Source organism: Homo sapiens, chromosome 3, assembly GCF_000001405.40.
Source record: "Homo sapiens chromosome 3, GRCh38.p14 Primary Assembly".
Taxonomy (NCBI): Eukaryota; Metazoa; Chordata; class Mammalia; order Primates; family Hominidae; genus Homo; species Homo sapiens.
Genome location: NC_000003.12, coordinates 4845801 through 4870644, shown reverse-complemented (window position 1 = coordinate 4870644; position 24844 = coordinate 4845801). Strand labels below are relative to the sequence as shown.

The 24844-nt window shown below is 39.2% G+C and overlaps 1 protein-coding gene and 1 long non-coding RNA gene across 7 annotated transcripts in view, besides 5 other annotated features; one reads left to right on the top strand and one right to left on the bottom strand.

Annotated features, from left to right (window-relative positions):
- LOC124906209 (uncharacterized) overlaps window positions 1-24844 on the top strand; it is a 73328-nt gene that overhangs the window by 16975 nt on the left and 31509 nt on the right. Inside the window, exons 1-2 of one of the 3 annotated variants that reach the window (XR_007095796.1) lie at window positions 2227-2755; window positions 5850-14009. The exons of 1 other annotated variant lie outside the window; for it this stretch is intronic. This is a non-coding gene — a long non-coding RNA (uncharacterized LOC124906209). Of the gene's footprint in view, window positions 1-2226; window positions 14010-24844 lie in introns of those variants that run through there. One more of the 3 variants, XR_007095794.1, reaches the window with a different exon arrangement.
- Window positions 1780-2259: a silencer, noted in NCBI's record as "silent region_14019". NCBI's record gives its function as "represses an Ori minimal core promoter by ATAC-STARR-seq in GM12878 lymphoblastoid cells {active_cell/tissue: GM12878}" and the evidence as "EXISTENCE:reporter gene assay evidence [ECO:0000049][PMID:35858748]".
- Window positions 2400-2479: an enhancer, noted in NCBI's record as "active region_19360". NCBI's record gives its function as "activates an Ori minimal core promoter by ATAC-STARR-seq in GM12878 lymphoblastoid cells {active_cell/tissue: GM12878}" and the evidence as "EXISTENCE:reporter gene assay evidence [ECO:0000049][PMID:35858748]".
- Window positions 19254-19333: an enhancer, noted in NCBI's record as "active region_19359". NCBI's record gives its function as "activates an Ori minimal core promoter by ATAC-STARR-seq in GM12878 lymphoblastoid cells {active_cell/tissue: GM12878}" and the evidence as "EXISTENCE:reporter gene assay evidence [ECO:0000049][PMID:35858748]".
- Window positions 19694-19753: an enhancer, noted in NCBI's record as "active region_19358". NCBI's record gives its function as "activates an Ori minimal core promoter by ATAC-STARR-seq in GM12878 lymphoblastoid cells {active_cell/tissue: GM12878}" and the evidence as "EXISTENCE:reporter gene assay evidence [ECO:0000049][PMID:35858748]".
- Window positions 20154-20273: an enhancer, noted in NCBI's record as "active region_19357". NCBI's record gives its function as "activates an Ori minimal core promoter by ATAC-STARR-seq in GM12878 lymphoblastoid cells {active_cell/tissue: GM12878}" and the evidence as "EXISTENCE:reporter gene assay evidence [ECO:0000049][PMID:35858748]".
- Window positions 23139-24844, bottom strand: part of ITPR1 (inositol 1,4,5-trisphosphate receptor type 1) — a 354159-nt gene continuing 352453 nt past the window's right edge. For all 4 annotated transcript variants that reach the window (NM_001378452.1, NM_001099952.4, NM_001168272.2 and 1 more), the window contains 1 exon segment: window positions 23139-24506. In NM_001378452.1, the coding sequence (NP_001365381.1) occupies window positions 24420-24506 (87 nt within the window). In that variant the 3' untranslated portion in view covers window positions 23139-24419.

Below are 24844 nucleotides of genomic sequence, written 5' to 3'. Positions count from 1 at the left end.
TAAAAAATTCCTTCTCTAAACTCTCATTGTTCTCTCTCCTAGCCAAGATTATCCCCTCCTTTCCCTAATACCTTGACACTGCCTCCTCCCCAATTTCCAATGCATCCATTCTGCCAAAATTTCAATTGAGGCAATTCAAATCCAAATACAGGAAGAATATTCTTTCAAATGTTATGAGCAAAGATTTGAGTCCATCTGTGAACGGTCACTGAGTTCTAAGACTTTTGGGTGAGGGGGCGGCAAGGAGGGAGCAGAACTTGAAGATCTCAAATCAGTAAAGGTTTTGTTATTTGTTCAATTCTCATTGTTCCTTAATCATCCCATTCTCTTAACCACCTTCTGATGATAATCTTCAGTAAAACTACCCACCATAAGAGAAGATGGGAAAAACAGGAGTAGCAGTAATTCCATATTAACGAGAAAGTGAAATTTGGGGGTTGAACAGCAGATCTAGAGCTACTTCCTTATGGTATTTGCACCCAGGAATCAACCTAAAAAAAATCCACAGGAACTCATAATCAAGCAAAACTAAATGCTGCCAAATGTGATAAATGTGGGACATATGTTCCTTAAGTCCTGTCCCAGGAATGCCCCATCTTACCACACTCCATCAGGACAGCTTCAAAGTAACCTTAAGAACAACAATCACAAAAAACTTCGTGTTCTCAAGGGACCCATGGTATGAGAACACACACAACTCACCTAAGGCAGGGATTTTTTATTTTGAATATAGTGACATGGTCTGGATATAGACTTTTCTTAATAAAACTACCCACCAGAAAGCTACACAAGAATATCAGTAAGTGGCTGGGTGCGGTGGCTCTTGTGAGCCTGTAATCCCAGTGCTTTGAGAAGTCGAGGTGGGAGGGCAGCTTGAAGCCAGGAGTATGAGGCCTATCTAGGCAACGCAACGAGACCTCCTCTCTATAAAAAGATGTTTTAAAATGAGCCGGGCATGGTGCACGCGCCTGTAGTCCCAGTTACTCAGGAGGCTGATTCAGGAGGATCGCTTGAGACCAGGAGTCCGAGGCTGCAGTGAGCTATGATCATGCCACTGCACTCCAGCCTGGGCAATACAGCAATATCCTGTCTCTTAAAAAAAAAAAAAAAAAAAAAAAAAGAAAGAAAGAAAGAAAAAAAAACCCACAAGGCCAGGTGCGGTGGCTAACGCCTGTAATCCCAGCACTTTGCGAGGCCGGGCGGGTATATCACTTGAGGCCAGGAGTTCGAGACCAGCCTGGACAACATGGTGAAATCCTGTCTCTACTAAAAATACAAAAATTAGCTGGGTGTGGTGGCACACGTCTAATCCCAGCTACTCTGGAGGCTGAGGTGAGAGAATTGCTTGAATCCGGGAGGCAGAAGCTGCAGTGAGCAGAGATTGTGCCACTGCACTCCAGCCTGGGTGACACAGCGAGACTCGGTCTCAAAAAAACAAACAAAAAATGCCCCCACAAACCTGTTAACTGGGTTAAGTTAATGTAAGAAGTCTAAATATCAAAGTTCTAAGCATGCCCTGGCTTAGCCTCTAGAGCAGGTCACTGACCAGCAGGGTGGCCTTGGACACCGTCTTTCAAAGTCTGCTACTCAGCAGGACGACTGGGGCCCTGACCACAGCAGTAGCTTCATAGATAATGCTCGTGATTACCAAAGCGCTTGCAGCAATAGTTGAGCTTTGGTGGAAGGAACTGCTGAAGTTCCTGATGTGATGGGGCAGGGGGTCCGAGTCATTTGGATTTAGCCATAAAATGGGAAAATCTGGAGCAGTATCTTGTGATTTCCCACTCAAGACGTCAAAGGGGCCGTATTGAGGCCCGTGACACCCACTTCCTTCCTTTTCCGGGGAAACGCCCCCTCCTCCACCGAAGCCGGCCGCGGCACGCCGCCTTCCCACTGGAGTTTGCGGCCTCGGCGGCCTCGACCGCATCCCGCAGCCAGCCAAACCCCACCATGCGCACGCGCACGCGGCGAAGCCGGCGCCCCGGGCTGGGCTGGGAAGTGCCCGCGCCAGCCGAGGGTCCCGCGCTCCCTACAGGAGGCGGGGCACGGAGGGGGCGGGGCGATCGCGAGGCTCCGCCTTGCCCTTGGCGGCGCTGGGCCATGCGGAGGCCCACGTGAGTAGACTGCCCGCTGGCCCACGGGCCGGGGCGCGCAGGCGCACGGCGGGGCTGGGTGGAGGGCGGAGGTGGCAAAAGGGTGAAGGCGGAGGAGGGAGTGCCTGGGAACAGGCGCATACGCTTGGCGCGGTGCCTCGCAGCTGTCTGCGGGTGGGGCCGCCGCTTTCCCTTGCAGACGAAAGCTGCTGACGGGAAAACCACGCGGGAGGGGAACGTCTAGGCCCTGGCCCTTTCCCCTCAAAGGCCGCGGGAACATAGGGCTGGGGAATCCTGGCAGAGGCTCTGGGCATTATTACAGATGGTCGTTGAGGGTCGCAAGCACCAGGCCTGGAGGCCCTCCTCGGCCTGCTACCAGCTGTGACCTTTGGAAAGTGACTTGGCTCGCGCCTCAGTTTTCCGTTTTCTGGAGGACTTGCGGCCTGAGAGTGGCCAAAAAGAAGAGAGTTACTGTCGCAGTCACTGCCTGCCTAGTGGGTATTTAGGTGCCCAGTCATGCCTTTGCTCTCGGAGCCAGTGCCTGGTGCAAGCACTGCGGTGGGTTCGTGCCCCAGCTTGGGGGCCACAGGGCTGACTCGGCCGCACTGCCTATGCGAGCTTGGCCCCAGTTTCCTCGTCAGGGCACAGAACTTCCTTCAAAGGTAATGAAAAGAGGTGAAATCTGTGTCACCTTTAGTCCCTGGCTCATAGTGGGCTCGTAATCCCGGTTACAGGCTTCAGGCCGCGCACAGGGCATGTAACTAGAGCTGATCCTTTCATAGGAGGGGAACGCAGACACCATGCCAGCCGGTTGTGCATGCCCGCCGAACAGAGGTCGATTTCCACTCTGTCGGCTGGCCAGGGAGAAGGAATGCAATTATTCATTTATTACGTACACTCCCATTGATCCCTGCCGTAGAAAAAGCTGCTCAGTCTTACTTTGCACATCTTTCTAGTTTAGTGTTTTAGAAAAGATAAAGGAAGCATTTCATTGATTATTTTTTCTAAATTTACTCTTACAATTAGTCCTTCTCTAATGATCAAGAAGGAAACGTGATTAATCTGTATTTGTGGAGGTTATTAGTGTATTGGAATAACATGGGATAAAACAGTAATAGGAGAGCTGGCAAAACCAGATACTCTTCAACTGTTAACTGTGTTGAAAGCTTGAAAAGTATTCATGTTCTGTGCTGTGTTACACTCTTTTTTTGGTCTCAAAAATACCCCTACCTCCATTGTCTCTAGGTGGTCGTTAAAAGCTGTTATTTTTTGTAGGCTTTTATTTTGATCTTAATTTCACCTTTTCCTACCAGTAACCACTGTCAGATCCTGTTGCTACAGGAGTTCAGAGAAAATCCGTTTGTAATATTATTTAGAGGATAACCACGCCCTGACTTCTACAGAGTGTTGAGTAAATCAAACTACTGTTCTTTCTGGAAAAAACCTGCAGCTGAAACTGGGATTAGGGATAAAGAAACCCAGCTGGAGTTTGCCCCTAAGTGCCAGTGATAGTTTCTGTTTATGGTCTGTTTATCACACAACATCTTTTGCCAGGATGTGACTAGCTTTTTGTGAGCCTTTCATGACCGCACGCAGTATGTGATGCCGTACATCTAAAATATGTACAAATAGCCGATCCTGACCCCCTTGATTAACTGTCAGATGTTTGCTAAAGTCAGTGATTTGCCCACACATAGCTCCTTGTTGGAAAAGCAGCCATTTGATTGATGTTATGTATGAATTATAATTTACAAATAAATTATTGAAAGCATATGAGGTCCAGTCAGATGAGATCCACAGGGGGAAAAATACACATATGAGGGAATCCAGGGTTTGACTTTTCCATTTAACCAGTTTTTCATTTTAATATTTTAAACAGTTGCAGAGTTTAGCTACTAATGGTCCAGATTTTTGAGATAGGCATAAACGAGTTAGTTGTCCTTGGTCTTACTATTTCAGTTCAACATACATTATTTAATGTAGTATAAATAACTACAGCAATCATAATAAACATTTATTGAGATTGTACCATTTATATTTACTATTTCAATATACCATGTATATTCATGATTTTATTTTACAGTTGACCCTTGAACAACATGGGTTTGAACTACGCGGGTCCACTTATAGGTGGATTATTTTCAATAATTTGAAAAAAAAATTCAAAAAATTATTTCTAATAATTGAAATAATTTTTTCAATGTGTTAGAAAAATTTTTGGACATCTGTGACAATTTGAAAAAACAGATGACCCAAGTAGCCTAGAAATACTGAAAAATTTAAGAAAAACTTAGGTATATCATGAATGCAGAACATATATGTAGATACTAGGCTGTTTTATCATTTACTGTAAAATATACACAAGTCTATTATAAAAATGTAAAATTTATTAAAACATACATACAAACATAGACTACATGGCACCGTTTGTAGTTGAGAGAAATATAAACAACAAAGATGCAGTATTAAATCGTAACTGCATAAAACTAACTGTAGTACATACTGTATTGTAGTAATTTTGTAGCCACCTCCTGCTGCTATTGCCATGAGCTCAAGTGTTGTGCATAGCCACTTAAAATGTCATGTGATGCTAATCATCTCTGCAGGAGCAGTCAATCTCTCCAGAAAATTGTGTATCACAGTAAAAAGTGATCTTTTGAGGTTCTCATGTATTTTTCATTGTGTTTAGTGCAATACTTCCATTGTGTTCAGTGCAATACCTTGCGTCACACCATGGGACCCATGCAATGCTGGAAGTGCTCCCAAGAAGCAGAGAAAAGTCATGACATTAGAAGAAAAAGTTGAATTGCTTGATATGTATGGAGGTCTGCAGCTGCAGCTGCCCGCCATTTCAGACACAATTCATCTTGTAAACTTGTGGGGTTGATACATACCGATAAATGTATTTTCCTTATGATTTTTCTTAATCACATTTTTTCTCTCACTTTATTGTAAGAATACTGTGTGTAATACATATAACATACAAAATATGTTAATCACCTGTTCATGTTATTGGTAAGGCTTCCAATCAACAGTAGGCTATTAGTAGTTAAGTTTTGGCAGAGTCAAACGTTCAACTTGGATTTTCGACTGCACAGTGGGCTGGCACCCCTAACCCCTGCATCGTTCAAAGGCCAACTGTACTATTTTGGATAATGGGGAATAAAACAATGTTTATTATGTGCTCTTCCGCCTCTGGAAATTTATAGCATTGTTTTTACTTTTTTTTTTTTTTTTAAGAAAAAAGAATCTTCCTGAAAAGTTATGCCTTTTAATTGTGGTATACATCCTGGCTATTTATAAGATTTCATTGAGAAATTTTTGTTTCCTCTAATATTTTTGTTGTTTTTTGTTTGTTTCAGGTGAAATAACTAAACCTGACAATGTTAGTGTGGACTTAAAACAGATCGTTTGTATAATAAAGGGATCAATAATTTTATTTTAGTGCACAGCAACTATTTGAGAATCTTTAAGTAAAATTGATATTGGATGATGAGGATTTTAAAACAAGGGTTTTAGACTTAAGAAAAAGAAAGGTAATTGGTATTTATCCTGTCCTTTATTAAAATAAATTTGAAAATGTAGGAAATTAGTAGTAGTGGAAAACGCTGATGGATAAAAGTAAGCCATTATACTTTGGCCACCGTGGATTAGTCAAGGATACATATATGTATATGTTGAGTATCATTGTTTGATTTACAAAATGCTTTTGCTTCATCTCCTATAATCTGTTTCTCCTATATCACTTTGGTACAGGTATTGCTTAATCCCTTTAAGAAATGAAGAAAAACCTTCAGAGAGGCTGAAAGGAATTGCCCAAGGCATCTGAGTCCAAGTCCTATAATGCCTTACACAATAATAAGAATGTCAACATGTTGGGCGATGAATATTTTTGACTGAGACCATAGTCAATGTGGTGCTCTGAGTCAATACACCCAAATTACACTATGCCATTGACTGCTTTGTTCTGGTTTGTGCCTGTTTCTAAGTAATAAGGATTACTGAATTTAACAATAGTGGGAACAGAGTGATGAATGAAATGAACAAGTAAAGCAGCCCCAGCTCTCATGGAGGTTGCAATCTAGAAAGAGATACAGAGAGAAAAATAATTTCAGTGTGTTAAGTGCTAAAAGATAAAGAGCACATCATCTAGATTAGGGTATTATGTAAAGCTTCCCATGAGAAAGGATACCTTAACTAAAACCTGGAGGATAAGTAAAAGTTAGTTAAGTGAATGCAGGAGGAGGTGGATGTTCTACATAAAGGAATAGTAAGTGAAAAGACATGATGCAAAAGACAGCATCTGTTGTTCCAGGACTTGGGAAGTACAGTGTTAATTATTATAGATTTACGTGTGTGTGTTGGGGCAGTGTCTTCAGTGAAGGAGGGAGTGATGAGAGAGGATAGATAAGAAGAGGGAGCCAAAGGACTTTGTGAGTAGAAGTTTTGGGGAGTAGGGTACAAGAATGCTGGGAGCTTCAAAACTGCAAGTAGGAGGAACAACCATTAAAAGACTTTTGCAGAAATCCAGGTAAGAAATGATGGTTGCCGAAAAGGCTAGTAACATTGCACATGAGATGGGAAATGAAAAGGTAAGATATTCGAAAAAATATATAGGAGTAGAATTAATGGGGGTTTGATGATTAGTTGGATGGAGGGAGAGAAGAGAAGGTGGTTCCTGAATTTCTGACTTGGCAATTGGCAGGATGATACTACTATTCACTGAGAGGAGAGACATAAAACAGGGTACAAATTTGAAAGGAAGAATGTACAGGGGATGGTAACAAATTGAGTTTTAGACATGTTGAGTAAGAGGTACCTGTGAAACATCAAAGATATTAAGTAGGCTTTTGGCTTAGTGGGTTTGACAGTGACTTGGGAGATTTTAGTTGTAGACAGATATTGGGAGTCATTGGGTGTATAATACTTGATTCTGTCTCATTAGGAATGGGAGAATAGAAATATCAAGTATACTTTTAAGTTATTTTTGAATAAAGGTATTATGTTTAATTTGCATGACAAATCTGTAAGAAATCTCTAGGACAGGGAAACATTATTGCACATAGAAGTGGCTAGTGGCTTGAAGGGTTGCCTAATATGTAAAGACATCCAAATTTTTAAAAGGTGGAGTAGGTAGAGGGAAATTTTAACTTATTTTTTTAAATATGGCAAGAATTGTCAGATTGGGTTAAAAAATCAAGACCCAACTCTATATGCTATCTGCAAGAAACCCACCTCAAATATAAAGACATAGATATATTAAAAGTAAAAGGACGGAGAAAGATATGTCATGCAAAGCACTAATCAAAAGAAAGATGAAGTGGCTATATTAGACAAAGTAGACTTTAGAATAAAGAATGTTACTAGGAAAAAAGAAGGATATTACGTAATGAATAAGGGAGAAATTCATGAAGAATGCACAACAAGCATAGATATGAATGGACCTAACACAAAAAATTGAAAGAACCAAAGGTGAAGTAGACAAACAATTTTAGTTGGAGATGTCAGTGCTCCTGCTTCAGTAATCCATAGAACTAGTAATCAGAAAATCAGTAGGGATATAGAAAACCTGAACAGCCCTATCAACCAATTTGTTTCAATTAAGTTTTAGAGAACATGCCAACAACAGCAGAATACCATCCTTTCAAATGTATGTGGGAAATTCACCAAGTTAGATGATATTCTGAGACATAAAACCTTAACAAATGTAAAGAATTGAAATAATATAAAATATGTTCTCTAATCACAACAGAATTAAACTAGAAATTGATAATATCTGCATAATTCTCAAGTATTTGGAAATTAGACAACATACTTTTAAATAACTTGTAAGTCAAAGAGGAAGGCATAAGGAAATTAAAAACTATTTTGAATGGACTGGCGATAAAAGTATAACACATCAAAATGTATGAAACGAAGCTAAAGCAGTGCTTAAAAGGTAATATATAGCGTTACATGCTTATATTATAAAACAAAAAAAGGCCTCCAATCAATGATGTAAGTCTCCACCTTAAAAAGTTTAAAAATAGAAAAGCAAATTAAATCCCAAACAAGCAGAAACTAGAAAATAATAAAGAGCAGAAATGAAATTTTAAAAAAGATTCTAAAACCAAAAGCTGGTATTTGAAAGACAAAATTAATAAACCTCTAGCTAGACTTAAAAGAAGGAAAAGTGGAGAAGACATAAGTTTTAATTCAAGAATGAAAAAGGTGCTATCACTATAGATCCTACAGACATTAAAATGATAAGAGAATATCATAAACAATTTTATGTCAATAAATTTGATAAATCAAATGGACACATTTCTTGACAGACACTCAAAGCTTACCTAAGAGGTACTAGGCAATGTAAAAACTTTCCCACAGGAAAAATCTGATGGCTTCATTTGCAAATCCTACAACATTTAAGAAAGAAGTAATACCATTTTTATACAGACTTTTTCAGACATAGAAAAAAGGAGGAAAGCTGGGCATGGTGGCTCAAGCCTGTAATTCCAGCCTTTTGAGAGCCCAAGGCAGGAGGATCACTTGAGCTCTGGAGTTTGAGACCAGCCTGGGCAATGTAGAGACTTTAGTAGAGACTTCATCTCTACTAAAAATAAAAGAAAAAATAGCCAGGTGTGGTGGTGCATGCTTGTAGTCCCAGCTACTCAGCAGGCTGAGGCAGGAAGATCACTTGAGCCCAGGAGATAGAGGCTGCAGCAAGCTATGATTGTACACTGCACTCTGGCCTGGGTGGCAGAGTGAGACCCTATCCTGGAAAAACAAAAGGAAAAGGAGAGAAAACTTTTCAATTTTATGTGGCCTGCATTACCTGATATCAAAACCAGGCAAAGAATTTATAAGAAAACTACAAGCCAGTATCCCTCATGAATATAGACATAAAAATGTTAAACAAAATATTAGCAAATAAAATCTAGTATATAAAAAGAGTAGAAAATACACCATGACCAAATGAGCCTTACTGCAAGAATGCAAAGTTGGTTCAATATACATAAGTCAATCAATGCAATTTACCATATCAACGGACTAAAGAAGAAAAAAGGCATATGATTATCTCAATAGATACAGAAAAAGCATTTTACAAAAATCTATCATTCGTTCCTGATAAAACTTTCAGAAAACAAGGAATAGAAGGAAATTTCCTCCACCTGGTAAAGGGGATTTATGAAAACACCTAACATCATACTTCATAAAGAAAGATGAAATGCTTTCCCCCTAAGATCAGAACAAAGCAGGAATGTTGGCATTCCCCACTCCTATTCAATATTGTCCAGGAGGTCCTAGCTAGTGTAATAAGGCAAGAAAAAGAAATAGGCACACAGATTGGAAAGGAAGAAATGAAAATGCCTTCATTTGTAGATACCATGATTGTCTATGAAGAAAATCCAAATAACTTACAAAAAGCTACTGGATCTAGCTGGGTGTGGTGGCTCACGCCTGTAATCCCAGCACTTTGGGAGTCCAAGGCGGGCAGATCACGAGGTCAGCAGATCAAGACCATCCTGGCTAACATGGTGAAACCCTGTCTCTAATAAAAATACAAAAAATTAGCTGGGCTTGGTGGTGGGTGCCTGTAGTCCCAGCTACTCCGGAGGCTGAGGCAGGAGAATGGTGTGAACCCGGGAGGCGGAGCTTGTAGTGAGCCGAGATTGCGCCACTGCACTCCAGCCTGGGGGACAGAGCGAGACCTTTTTTTTTTTTTTTTGAGACAGTCTACTGGATCTAGTAGGTGAGTTTAGCAAACCCACAGGATACAAGGTCAATATATGAAAATGAACCATACTTTTTTATACTAACAGCAAACGTTTTGAACGTGAAAACTTTTTAGAGTATATTTACAACAGCATCCAATTTACAAATACCTAGGAATAAATCTAACAGAACATGTATAAGATTTGCATGCCAAAAACTGACATACATTGATGAGAGAAATCAAGACCTAAACTAGTGGTAAAATGTACTGAATTCATGGATTAGGATTTTCAGTACTGTCAAAATGTCAGTCTTCCCAAATCGACAGATATAATGCAATTGCAGTCACAATCTCAGCAGTCGTCTTTGTGGAAATTGACAGGCTATTTCTAAAATTTATATAGAGAAGTAAAGAACCTAGAATAGCCAAAACAATTTTGGAAAAGAAAATGTTGGATCATCCACACTACCTGATTTCAAGACTTGCTATAAAGTTACAAAAATCAAGACAAAATGATTTTTAAAATTTTATGGTTAAAAATGAGCTCTAGCCTCTTAATCAATTTTTAAGTGTATAGTATTGTTAACTATGAGCACAAAGTTGTACAGCAGATCTCTACAATTTTTTCATCTTGTGTGACTGAAACTATACACCCACTGAGTAGCAACTCCCCTTTCTCCCCTACCTGCAGCTCTTGGCAACCACTATTCTACTTTCTGCTTCCATGAGTTTGACTATTTTATGTAATTCATGTAAGAAGAATCGTACAATATTTGTCCTTCTGTGACTAGCTTATTTCACTTAGCATAATGTCCTCAAGGTTCATCCATGTTGTAGCATGTGACAGGATTTTCTTCCTTTTTAAGGCTGAGTAATATTCCATTATATACACACATCACCTTTTCTTTATTCATCCACCAGTGGACATTAAGGTTGTTTCTACCTCCTGGCTGTTGGGAACAATGCTGCAGTTAACATGGGAATGCAGATATCTTATTTTAATTCTTTTAGATAAATACCCAGAAATGAGATTGCTAGATCATATAGTAGCTCTACTTTTAATTTTTTAGGAAAATTATGCTATGCTCCATAGCAGTTGTATGATTTTACATTTCCGCCAACAGGGCACAAGCGCTTTCATTTCTCTACATCCCCACGAACACTTGTTATATCCTGGGTTTTGTTGTTGTTGTTGTTGCTTTCAAATAATAGCCATCCTAACAGGTGTGAGGTGATATCTCGTGGTTTTGATTTGTATTTCCATGATGATTAGCAATGTTGAGCATCTTTTCATATACCTGTTGGCCACTTGTATGAATTCTTTGGAAAAATGTCTATTCAAGCCTTTTGCCCGTTAAAATTTTTTTTTAAGTTTTTATTTTTTGAGACAGGGTCTTGTTCTGTCACCCAGTCTGTTGTGCAGTGGTACAGTCACAGCTCACTGCAGCCTTGACCTCCTGGGCTCAAGTGATCCTCCCATGTCAGCCTCCCAAGTAGCTGGGACTACAGGTGCGTGCTCCTGCACCTGACTAATTTTTGTATTTTTTTTGTAGAGACTGAGTTTTGCTATGTTGCCCAGGCTAGTCTGGAACTCCTGGACTCAAGTAATCCTCCCGCTTTGGCCTCCCAGAATGCTGGGATTGTCGGCATGAACCACTGCACCTGCTTTTGCTCATTTTAAAATTATGTTATTTTTGTTTGGTTGGTTCTTTTGCTGTTGAATTATAGGAGCTCCTTATATATTTTGAATATTAACCTCTTATCAGATTTTTTGGTTTACAAATATTTTCTCCCATTCTGTAGGTTGCCTTTTCACTGTGTTGATTATTTTCCTTGGTGTACAGAGGCTTTTTAGTTTGATGCAGTACCACTTGTCTACTTTTGCATTCATTGCCTGTGTTTTTTGGTGTCATGTTCAATAAGTCATTGCCGTGACCGATGCCATGAAGGTTTCCTGTATTCTAGAAGTTTTATAGTTTCAGGTATTACATTTAGGTCTTTAATCCATTTTGAGTTGGTTTTTTCTTTTCTTTTTTTCTTTTTTCTTTTTTTTGAGACAGGGTCTCACTCTGTCATCCAGGCTAGAATACAGTGGTGCAGTCATAGCCCACGGCAACCTCAAACTCCCTTGCTCATATTTATTTTTTTTTTGTAGAGATGGAGTCTTGCTATATTGCCCAAGCTGGTGAGTTGATTTTTGTATGTAGTACAAGATAAGCGTCCAGTTTTATTCTTCTGCATGTGACTATCCACTTTTCCCAATACCATTTGTTAAAGAGACTATCCTTTCCCCATTGTTTATTCTTGTCACTCTTTTTAAATATCAGTTGACTATATGTTCAGTTGATGAAGGGATAGACATATAGGTCCATGGAACAGCACAGACTCCAGAAGTAGACCCACACAAACATGGTCAATTGATATTTTTGACTAAGGTGTCAATTAACTCATTGGAGACAGGATAGTCTTCACACAGAATGGTGCTGGAGGAATTAGGTGTCCATATTTTAAAAAAAAATAATCTTGACACATACCTTGTACCTCTATAAAAATTAAGTAAAAATGTATCATAGACCAAAATGTAAAACCTAAAACTATAACACTGCTAGAACTTCCTGGCCCGTTGTGCTGGCCACATGTGGCTATTTAAATTTAAACTAATTAAAACAAAATAAAATTAAAAAATTCAGCTCCTCAGTTGTTGCAGCAACATATCAAGTTCTCAGAAGTCACATCTGGCTAGCTATACCCAGTGTATTGGTGAGCACAGATTATAGAACATTTCTGCCATAACAGAAAGTTATATTGTACAATGCTGTTCTAGAAGAAAACAGGAGAAAATCTTTGGAATCTTAGGCAAAGATTTCTTAGGAGGCAATATGAACCACAGGAGCAAAATAATTGATAAATTGGGTTTCATCAAAATTAAATCCTTCGGTCTTCAAAAAGCTCTGCTGGCCAGGTGTGGTGGCTCATACCTGTAATCCCAGCACTTTGGGAGGCCAAGTTGGGAGGATTGTTTGAGCCCAAGAGTTTGAGATCAGTCTGGGCAACACAGGGAGACTCATCTAAAAACAAAACAAAAAACAAAAACAAACGAACAAACAAAAACAACCTTTGCTAAGAAAATGACAAGCCACAGACGAGGAAAAAAAATTGCAAAACATATATTTAGTACAGAACTGGCAACCAGAATATAAAAAGCATAAGTTTCAAAATTTAAAATTTAATAACATAATCATAGTCTGAGAAGTCCTAAACATTTTAATAACAAAAGAAAGTAAAAAGTGGGCAAAAAAATTTGTATAGACACTTCATCAAAGAAATATGGATGGCATATTATTTAATTTTTCTAATCTTTTTTCTTTTTTTGGCTCTATTACGTTAGTAACTTACAACTTTTCTAACCTTATACAGGTATGCATCCATTTTTTAAAAATCAGTAAAGGTTATCTGGTTGAGAAGTTTATGATCTACTTTTATTTTCTTTGTTCCTCACTGGATCTTTTAAAGTGCAAATCCTAGCAAATGAAACCTGAGGAAGAAAGTCTCTAATCGGGGGTGCGTGTGTGTGTGTGTGTGTGTGTGTGTCTAAAAAAGCAAACATCTTTTTATAGTTGTTTCTGGTTGTCCAAGAATAGCAATAGTGAATGTAAAAGGAAGCAACAGTCTCTTGGGCAATCATTTATAGCTTTATCAGTGTATACGATCATGTTAATGAACTGATTTGTTCAGCCTGTTTGGACCATGAGAAAATGTGACCTTCCTAATTGTATTCAAATCCGTCAGAGTTGAAAAGAAATATGTGATTTGTTTTTCTCGTCTTTAACCTGTCTAGATTTTGCCTAAGCAAATGTGGTAGGCAGAATAGCGGCCCCCTTAAAGATGTTCATGTCCTAATCCCCAAACCCTGTGAATATGTTGCCTTACATGGCAAAAGGGAGATTGCAGATGTGATTACTGATTTTGAGATGGGGAGATTTCCTGGATTATGCAGGTTGGACCAATGGAATCACAAGTGTCCTAATAAATGAAGGAGGAAGGCAGGAGAGTCAGAGTCAGAATGATGCAATGTGTAAACGGCTCAACTGGCCATTCCTCTCTTTGAAGATGGGGTCAGGCCACAAGCCAAGGAACGGAGGCAGCCTCTTGAACCTGAAAAAGGCAAGAAAATGGATTCTCCCCTAGTGCCTTCAGAAGGAACGTGGACAAGCAGAACTGTAAGATAATAAATTTGTGTTGTTTTACGCCTTTAAGTTTTTGGTAATTTGTTACAGCAACAGTGGGAAACTAGTGCAGCATACCTACAGGACTGTTCCATTTGTAAGTTCTAAAACACAGGCAACTGATTATTTTTATTTAAATCAGGAGCACAAATCATTTTAAGTTTCACTGCCAGTGCTACCTTGCTCTCTAGTGAGCAGGTTTTTGACCCTTGCCCTCCTGCCCAACTCTGTGAAATACTTAGTTGAAAAAGTGTGCACACTGAATGTGCTAAAAAGGGTAAAAGTACCGTGAGTCAACCCAAACATTAGCAGTCCTGGGTGTGTGGGCTGTGGGCCACCTGCACACCATCGCCATTGTATGTTTGCACCACCATTTGTTTATTCATTTACTAGCTGATGGACATTTGGTTTGTTTCCAGTTTGAGGTGATATCAATAAAGGTGTTTATAATTTGCATACAGGTTTTTGTATAGACATATATTTTCATTTCTTTTGGATTAATACGTGGTAGTAGGATTTCTGGATTTTTTAGTAGGTGTGTTTATTTTTTTTTAACTTCAGTTGTTTTTCAAATTGGTTGTACTGTACTCTACCCATAAGTATGAGAATTTATATTAGTCCATTCTCACACTACCATAAAAAAATGCCTGAGACTGGGTACTTTATAGAAAAAAAGGTTTAATTGGCTCACGGTTCTGCAGTCTGTACAGGAAGCATGGTGTCATCTGCTCTGCTTCTGGGCCTCGAAGCCTCAGGAAACTTAGTCATGGCGGAAGGAAAACAGCGGGCCAGCACTTCAAATGGCTGGAGTAGAAGGAAGAGAGGGTGCAGGAGGTGCTACACACTTTTAAACAACCAGATCTCATGAGAACTCACTCACTATACAGTATCAAGGAGAGATGGTGCTAAACCGTTCATGAGAACTCTGCCCCCAGGATCCAGTCACCTCCCACCAGGTCCCACCTTCAACAACAGGGATTACAGTTCTACATGAGATTTAGGTGGGGACACAGATCCAAAGCATGTCAGAGTTTCGGTTTAAAATCCTATGGAATGGTACAAAAAGAGCTATGAAAGACTTCCATCCACCCCTAAGTCCTTTGGCCCATTGTGAAATTTCTAGTATTAGCAGAAATACTAAAATTTGTTAAATCTGGTTGGGAGACTCTAACTCAAGTGATTTACATATGGTTTATGTATAGATGAACCATAATTTGTTATTCAAAATGGCCATAATTTCTTTAGGCTACTTAAATGTGCTCTGTCTCTTCAGGTGTAATGAGAACTGCCATAATACTACCTGAATTGTTGAGGGATTATCTTTTAGCATTGTTAGATAAGGGAGTTGGGTGGAGAGAGGAGTATGAAAGTATATGTGGGTCTGAATTTGCACGTTCGTAGAGACCATGCTAAATCACAGCTTTGTTATAAGAGTTGAAAGAGGGAGGAAGAGAGAGATTGGGATCCCCTGGTTAGAGGGAGCAAATTGGAGAATGTTGTGAAGCAGGGTTACCGGAGCCAGAGGCATTATGATTAATGGTTAGTTTATAGGATTGAATGGTCAGTTAGCAACAAAAAGAGTAGTGACTGCCTGATGTTCAGTTCTATATGCACCTTCTTTTTGGGCCACTGCTAGATATTCGTTCCTTAATGAAAGACTCCTCCTTGCCCTTGGCTCCAAAACAAGCAGATTAAGTGAAGTTTCAAAAATAATCTTTTTTTTACCCCTCAAAGGCATTGACCCTCTTTGTTTGGGAGGAATTGTGCTAGGTACTAACAAAACAGAAATGAACTAGTTGCAGCTTTTGCCTTTAAGAACTCTGACTTTTCTTTGCATCTCTTAGAACTCTGATACCTTACACATCTCCCCCAGGCAAGGTGGGCAGGTAGAGGTGCAGACACAGGAACATAGCTGGATGGCACCTCACATAGTGAAGCACTGGGATACTGAGGAATATACATGAGGTCAGATGATCTGGCTTTTGAATCCCAGGTCTGATGTTCTGGTTTGGTCAAATCACTTCAACTTTCTTTTTTTTTTTTTTTTTTTTTTTTTGAGATGGAGTTTTGCTCTTGTTGCCTAGGCTGGAGTGCAATGGCATGATCTTGGCTCACCGTAACCTCCGTCCCCTGGGTTCAAGCGATTCTCCTGCCTCAGCCTCACGAGTAGCTGGAATTACAGGCACATAATCCTGTAATCCTGGCTAATTTTGTATTTTTAGTAGAGACAGGGTTTCTCCATGTTGGTCAGGCTGGTCTCGAACTCCTAACCTCAGGTGATCCACCCACCTCGGCCTCCCAAAGTGCTGGGATTATAGGCGTAAGCCATTGCGCCCAGCCCAAATCACTTCAACTTTCTAAAGACATTTCTTGTTCCGTAAAATAGGGATGTATCAGAAAAAAATGCTATTTTAGCAGCCAGTTTGCCCTGCAAGTGGAAGCTAAGGATGACAGAATTATAGCCTTTTTTTTTTGGCCAAGGTAAAGGCCTAATCTAGAGAGGAATGACTGGGAACTGAGGGCTACAATTGCTCTGCATAGTAAAGAAACAAGAATTTTTGGTTTTCACTTGAGGCTGGAAGGAAGGTTTTTTTTGTTGTTGTTGGTTTGTTTTGCTTTTGTTTGTTTAGGCAAGTGGGAAAGAAAAAGTAGATGCCTGCCTGCCAACAGGCTGAGAAGAGAAGTTGCTCCTCCCATGAGTGAAAAGGAAGGGGGAGGGAGCTTTGATGACTGATTCTCAATTTTTAATTGTTTCCTATTCCTTATTGTAATCTTCTTCCACTAAAGATCTGCTCTTCACAAAGCCCAGATGATAGTGGTGCTTTGGGGACAGGTAGGAGAGAGAGCTGTGTCCACACCAGTGAAATAAAGAGAGGGGAGATGATGAGAAGGAACAGATAATTGGGTTGGAATCAGGATTTGGGATGAAACAGTGACAAGGGATCATGAAGAAGGTGTAAACACCCTCCTTAGAATGGTTACTTGCTGAACTTGGGTCTGCCCACCCAGAGCAGCAAAGCCACACACTGACATCGGGATTGCAGGGAGAGAAAGTGGGGCATTTGTTGCAGGGCACCAGGCAAGGAGGATCAGGGAGGTCATGCTTAAGACCTGAACTCCCAGATGGCTTACACAGGTAAGGCTTTTTAAAGGCAGCGTGGCAGAGGTTACAGGCAAAGTCATAAATCAATACATGAGGCTACATATTGGTTTAACCTAAAAAGGTGGGATATCTCAAAGTGGAGTAGGAGTGGAAGGGTACAGCCCATAGATCATAGGTGGATTCAGAGATATTTTCTAATGTGCAATTGTTTAAGGAGGTGAAGCTTTGTAGAAAAATTTGAGGTCAGCAGAAAAGAATGTTAGCTCTGGCCTGTGGGCAATAACTTCCTCCAGGCCCTTCAAGAAGAAATTTAGAACAAAGAACAGTGGTCAGAGTTCCATCCTCCGTTCCCCCTTATCTGAGATTTGCCTGCCAGCTGACAGCATTTTTCCTTTGGTAGTGGTCTGGGTTTTTAAAAAACAACTCAAGGACATACGTTAAGATACTATCTATAGTTTCTTTAGGGAACCAAACATCTCATGACTTCCTTGGCTATTGTTTTAGGCTACTATTACCTTATTTTATTTTATTTTATTTTATTATTTTATTTTATTTTATTTTATTTATTTTATTTTATGTTATTTTATTTTAGAGACAGTGTCTCACTCTATTGCCCAGGTTGGAGTGCAGTGGTGTGATCTTGGCTCACTGCAGCCTTGACCTCCCTGGGATCAGGAGATCCTCCTACTTCAGCCTCCTGAATAGCTGGGACTATGGGTGTGTGCCACCACGCCTGGCTAATTTTTGTATTTTTTGTAGAGATGGGGTTTTGCCATGTTGCCCAGGCTGGTCTTGAACTCCTGGGCTCAAGCAGTCTACCTGCCTCAGCCTCCCAAATCATGAGCCACTGCGCTGAGGCTGCTATTATATTACTTTATTGCTCAACAAGTTGCTTATTCACTTCTCAGGGCTAGCTAGGTGCCTGGAATTGCCCTTGAAGGAATGCAAGATTTTCCTTTATTTTCATGCTCGGGTTGCAGAGGGGCTCACGGGCCCCCAAGGTGGGGTCTCTGCTCCTTCTCAGGATCCTTCTCAGAAAGAAATTATTAAAGAGGCTCTGGGTCTTCTATAGGTAGTGAGATGTAGAATTTGTATTTGAATGTTAAATTAAAGATAGTACAACTTGGGACCATTCAGACTTCAGAGATAATATCTACTTGACAAGACTGGGAGGTTTAAATGAGAATGTAAGTGAAGGCATTTCAGAAACTAAGGAAATATATTGTCATTCCCAAGATAAAACATTTTTTCTGTAGAGATTTATTTTATTTATTTATTTAGAGATGGAATCTCACTCTGTTGCCTAGGCAGGAGCACAGGGGCACAATCTTGGCTCACTGCAATCTCCGCCTCCCGAGTTCAAGTGATTCTCCTGTCTCAGCCTCCTGAGTAGCTGGGACTAAAGGCATGCGCCACCACACCTGGCTAATTTTTGTATTTTTAGTAGAGACAGAGTTTCGTCATGTTAGCCAGGCTGGTCTCGAACTCCTGATCTCAGGTGATCCATCCACTTTGGCCTCCCAAAGTGTTGAGATTACAGGCGTGAGCCATTGTGCCTGGCCCAAGATTTATTTTAAGAAAAGAAGTCAGATTTGAATCCAGCACTGCTAAAAAATATGAGGATAGTTATCTGGAAGTCATAAGCTGTATGAGAGGTTTCTTTATGAATTTATTCAGTTCAAACTGATAGTTAAAACGTACTTTGGATAGAAAGATAAAAGTTTTTAAAATGACTGGATGTGGCCCAAATATGTCATGTTAAGACATGTAGATTTAGGATCCCGCAGTAATAACATCAGACCCATTTAGTGGGAACAGAAAGAAGCTTTTGGTCATGCAATAGTTAGCTGAGATTGTGGATAGGTATGAAAAAAAGGAAATGGTCATGTTGCAAAGGAATGGGAAGTAACGTATCAGGTATATGCCAGACTCTTGGTATAGATTATCTTTCTTGATGCCCATTACTGCCCAAAGAAGTACGTGGTAGCATCTCTACTCTTGAGAAGGGGGGAACTGCACATTAAAATCATTAGTAACTTGCTCCAAGTTATAACATTTCAGTGACAGAAATGGTATTAGAATTCTTATCCACTTTAAGGCCCATGTTCTTTCCATTCCACCATGTTGCCATGTGGACTCTGACATAGACCTAGCACCTAAGCCTTGTGTGGTTCAGGTCTCCTTGTCCCAGTTTTATACCAAACCTTAATTGTTTTTCTGCAGAGAACTTTTACAAAAAGCTTCTTACAAGACTTTATGAGATACCATAGGTGATAAGTATGTGACTTATGCTCAGGAGTAAATAGGTGAAATTCCTGGATTGTCTGAAGTTCCATTTACCTGGGACCAACCATGTATTGTGAGGTCATTATAAATGTGCTGGCAAACTCTTTCCGTTAGTGGTTCTTGCGTACAGTGTGCACTTCTTATGTTGTTGGACTCTTTGTGTTGTTGTTCAGAATTCACCTTAGGGGTTTTCTCAAACTCTGCATTCTTATTCTATAGTGGTTTTTGGCTTTCTTTTTTCTCTCCAAGCTGGGTGGATGATGCAGTTTCGCTTCTAGGTGTTAGGATTCTCTTTCACACTGGTTTGTCATGACCTTAAAGTATTTTAAGATGTTCCTTTGGTAATTTTTTTTTTAATGTCTTGCCCTAGTAAGCTAGAGATTTGTTTTACCAAATGAGTTTAAAATACCAGCAGCTGGAGACTCCATAGCATTGTCTGAGTTGACCAAATGTAAACACCCACCAGTGATCTACCTTTTTATTTTCTTGATTTTGGTAGACTTTTTTGGTTCCAGACCTGAAGGCTTGTTATGCTTCTGAATTGGCCTCTAGGTTGTAAGAGTTGCTTAATGTGGCATATGATACCAAAGATGGAAAAATGTGTATGATAATTATAATCATCTTATTATAAATTGCCATCATACTCTCTCCTGTCAGATGATTGATGAGGCCTAAACGTTGTTCTGAGCTGCAACCACCCACAAAAACCACACACACGGCGTTTTACTCAAAACTTTACTTCAACCACTACTTTGTGATGCAAAACTAGTGGAATTTTGGGTACTTTCTGTAAAATTGAAATCTTTATGGGGATTTTCCAACATTCTAGTTGATTGTTAAATTATTAGTGTAAGGAACAAGACCAAGGCAGAGTTTGCCAATGAACACTGACATCTGTGGTAGGAGAGGACACCAGTGTGCACCTGCACATGCTCCCTAGGAAGAAGCCACCTTGATTGGGCCGAGGACGGATTCTCCCTTTGAAAAATGCAGTTATATAAGAGCTATATACAAGAGATTTGTAGTTGTGAAAGATAAAGACTTCAGGAGCTCACTCACTCCTTATCTTTGCCACAAAGTTTTCGGTCTTGACAAAATATTCAGAGTCAATACTTTCTAATGTGTAGATCCATCATCTCATGAAAGAGATTTGAAAAGAAAAAACAAATCAATCTGTATTGTTCCACATGTAGGACAAAATAAAGTTCTGCATGAATGCTTTGTGTAAAGGGAGAACAGTTAAGGGAAACTGATTACTGATATCCCCACTCTGGAAGGGAGATAGCAAGTGGGAAGAGCTCTCTGTATTTTGCTTAGTCAGGAGATCTTTATTTATTCTGGAGCTGAGTCCTTGGACAAGTTACTTTACTTCTTTAGGGCTCAATTTCTTATCTTATTTAAAATAAGTTTCACTTCTGCTGTACAGTGTCTCAAGAGCCTTCAATAACAGTCCTTTGTTATTCTGTCTTATGTAAAGGTGACTTTTACTGTCATATAATTTGTCTTCTAACAAGCACGTATGTTATCAAAATCTGTAAAAAAAAAAAAAAAGTTTTGGCGAAAAAGTTTTGGCAAAAACCCAACTCTGCTTCTATAAGTATGTAGTTATGATTGTAACAGTTTGGAAGGAGTAAATTTCCCTCCCTGCCGCTCAAAAGTCAGGCTAAGGGTCTCATTATTAGCCTTAAAATAACTATCAGAAACTTTCAGGCCTTTGCCCATTAAGGCTTTATCCAAGCCGTCTATAGTAGGAGTATACAGAGATCTACAATTGAGTTTTTAACAGGTTATTTTCTTAATTTACTCTAGAGATCTTAGTAATTTCCCACTAGCACATGGCATGTCAATGCAGAACTTTGCAGTGAACTGTATGGGACTTGGGAGACAAACAGCTCTGTATAGTTTGCTGCTGCAAAGGCTGAGTTGTTGACTAGCGTCCATAGACAAAGGATGCTTGCTTTAGAATTTATATTAGGAAGTGCTCAGTGAAACGCAGTGAAAGAGCACATTTTACAGGAGCAAAATCAAGCAATTGATTTCCAGAAAGGGCAACCAAATAAAAAAAAATTGGCTGAATGAAGAACAATGAATAAGGAACATGAACTTGAAAGCAAACTAAGTGAATAGTATCAAATCTTTAAAGAATGACATTAAAGTCATATTTTGTATGTTGGGGGCAGGGTAAATACAGATAAATACAGCACTAGGAGAAAACTGAACAGGGTGGATGGAATATCATTTAGACCTTCAGGACGACAGCAAACAGAGTGGAAGCTTTACTTGTAGAGAGAAACAGGGTAATCACTACACAATTTTAGGGGCATGGAAAGGGTAAGATCCCACAAATGTTAGAGAAGTGGAATGGAATTTCCCAGACCCTTTAACAGATGGATTAGTTAGGGAAATTTGCAGATGCTTGAAACTTGAATTGGTGCTGTAGCAAACTGTTAATATTAAATAAAATGGCTTAATTAAGTAACATTGGCTTTCTCTCATGTTAGCGAGTACTACCATACTTTCACCCTGATAACACTAATTCTTCATCCGGGTAGGTAACTTTGAAGGTGACTTGGACCTTGATCTTAAAATAGAGGTGTTGGAAAGGCACAATGTGAAGGAAGCAGGCAGAATTACAATTACACATCAAAGGCCCCCGGAGTTTTCACTTCAAATTGTATGTTTCAATTCTACTAGCTTTAGTGTTCACACCCAAACGGCAAGGGTAGGATCTACTGCATGGAGGGAGGAGTGGCATTCCAATTTCGTTTATTTTCTGCTGAAGCTGGCACACTGAATGAAGATTTATATCTTAAGTGACAGGATTCAAATGGAACATGACAAACCTGTAAAAGCTGCAACTTGGCATGTCAATGCAGAACTTTCCAATGAACTGGATGGGACTTGGGAGACAAACCACACACACTGCCACATCTCGTTGGGCAGTGTGAGAGATCAAAGAGAAAGCCCAGGGGAAAAGCAAGTCCTTGCTAGCTAATGTGTGCATTGTGGGGGTTAGCATAGATTGCCATTTTGCTTACAGATAAAAGTAGGTATCTGTCTTAGGCTTGCCTTACGATGGAAAAATTTTGTGGAGACAGGCTGCACTGACTGGAAAAAATTAATTTGTTTTTAAGTTATCAAATTTATAAAGTAGAAGCATTAGTTACAAAACTAGCCATTTAACTGGAATTTAATCTTGACCTAGTTCCCAACATTGGGTGGTATTATTTACCAAAGCATAGAGAAAATTAGTGTCAAAAAAAGCAGCCAGGGCAAGCACTGATTTGAGGAGGGAACAGGTTTTACTACGTTTGGACAGGCAAGGTGGCTCTGTAAAAACATTTTACACTTTGCTGAAGGACCCTGACCACTGGGCATGAACTAAAACAAATTTCAGCTGTTCCCGATACTTCCACATGGCACACAGCAAATTAAAGATCCCCCAGTAAAAGCAGAAGAGACAGGAGATTTAGTAGGGCGCTCCCGACAGCCTGGCTGGCAGTCACTAATCCAGAAGAATGAATGAATGTTGTACTAAATACTCCCCAATGTTTGTTCTAATAATTCTCCTCAGAGCTGTCATAACAACAGCAAGTGTTTTTTTAAATAATCAGGTAAACATTTTCTGAATTAACCTGGTAATCAAACCGACTGTACTTCAAACTGATCCTAAAGAAAGTACATAAATGGAATAGCAGTTAAGTCACAAATGCCAAATGAAAGCCACCAACCAGTCACTGTATATTCTGCATCATTTATTAAATATTTTTATATATGCATTTACAAACTTTACTCATTTCAGAACTCTGCTTTCAATGCATTTTTAAACTGTTTTTTTTTTTTTTGCAGAGAGATTCTCTTGTAAAATGAGATCCATGTACAAAACTAGGCAACAGATATAAAAGTTTCCTTTCATATTTTTCATCCATCAAGAAAAGAAATCATGTGACAAGAAATAAAACCAAAATGTGGCTCTTTCAGAAGAATAACATGTCTGTGGTCAACTATGACTTCTAATGAGATAGTTCATATTTCATCTTTATATGGATGTATATAGTTTTAATACTTCTTAGCTACTGTAGCATGTTGGTTCAGATGAAGAAAAAATAAACTCTATTGTTTGGACTAGATAATCTAGAAACCATCAATTATGCATGTCTTTATAATGCGACATCAAAATTTACCCAGGAGATGACACTGATTGGCCAGCAGTATGCATTTATCCTGAACATTGCATAGAAAGTTCCCTTTAAAAAATTCATTATCTTCTTCACAAGCTAAAGTATGAGCCTCTAATTTGGCTCTCTTATTTAAAGAAATAGTTTAAATGATCAATTTAGAAGCTTAAAAGTATCTTTGAAACTAAAGTTGCTTTTCTTAAAATGAATGCTGATTTAACAGTTCATAGACTTGGAGCATTATCACTAGGAGACGGAGGCACTACTGCCACTAACGAGAAACAGCATCACCAGAGGATAATTACATGGTACAAAATGCCCAGGGGCCTGAAACTCACTATTAATATAATTTTGGCAGCAGCATCATTTGAAAGTTAACCATTTATTACATAGTATTAACACACCAGCTTCAAAGAAGTGCACTCCCTTTAGGACACTCGGGAGCTACAAATGTATTGTGATTGCATAATTCGTATTGCACAGTTTTATAAAAAACATAAATACTGGCTATTCTAGTTTTAAATACAAAATACATGTCATATACTTTTAAATCTATAATCTGGTTCAAGTGCAAATCAGGTGCTTTCTGTTAGTCCTTCCAAAAAAGGCATTTTTAATATTTTTGGCACAAATGAAATGTCATCATGCCAACAATTCTAATTACAATACATATATCCAAACCTTTAGAGTAGCAATCATATACATACAGTATAAAACTGAGTATTTACAAATGTATTCAGCATAAATGTAACCTTCGTGGGTGAATCAGAACTCATTAGCCATACCCACACTAATAATAATTATAAAAGGTAAATACAATTCCTTTCTTTCATTTGCTTATGCTGGTTGTTGTGGGTTGACATTCATGTGAGGAGGATGTCCTAGAAGACCAATTCTTTGTTTCTGCTTCCTTTGTTCTGTCATCTGGAAAGTTAAAAAGTTTCATCATTAGACCCAGATACTTCCTGTACGTCAAATCGCATACTGAACCATAGATTTACCTCTGTGGTTATGGTTTATACTGAAACCCACTTTCTACAAATAGTGTACCATCGCTATATCAAACACACAGCACTTCAAAAAAGGCATCTTCTTAGGCAGAATGGGAAATTCTGTGACCTAGTCATGCAATGTAACATTCAGAAGTATTGCTTGCCACTTGTTTCATAAAGAAACAAAAAACAATAAAAGCACAGGATTCTTTCTTGTTTCCCAAATGCACTTCCAAATGATTTGAAGACTCATTGGAAAATGGTGGCTTT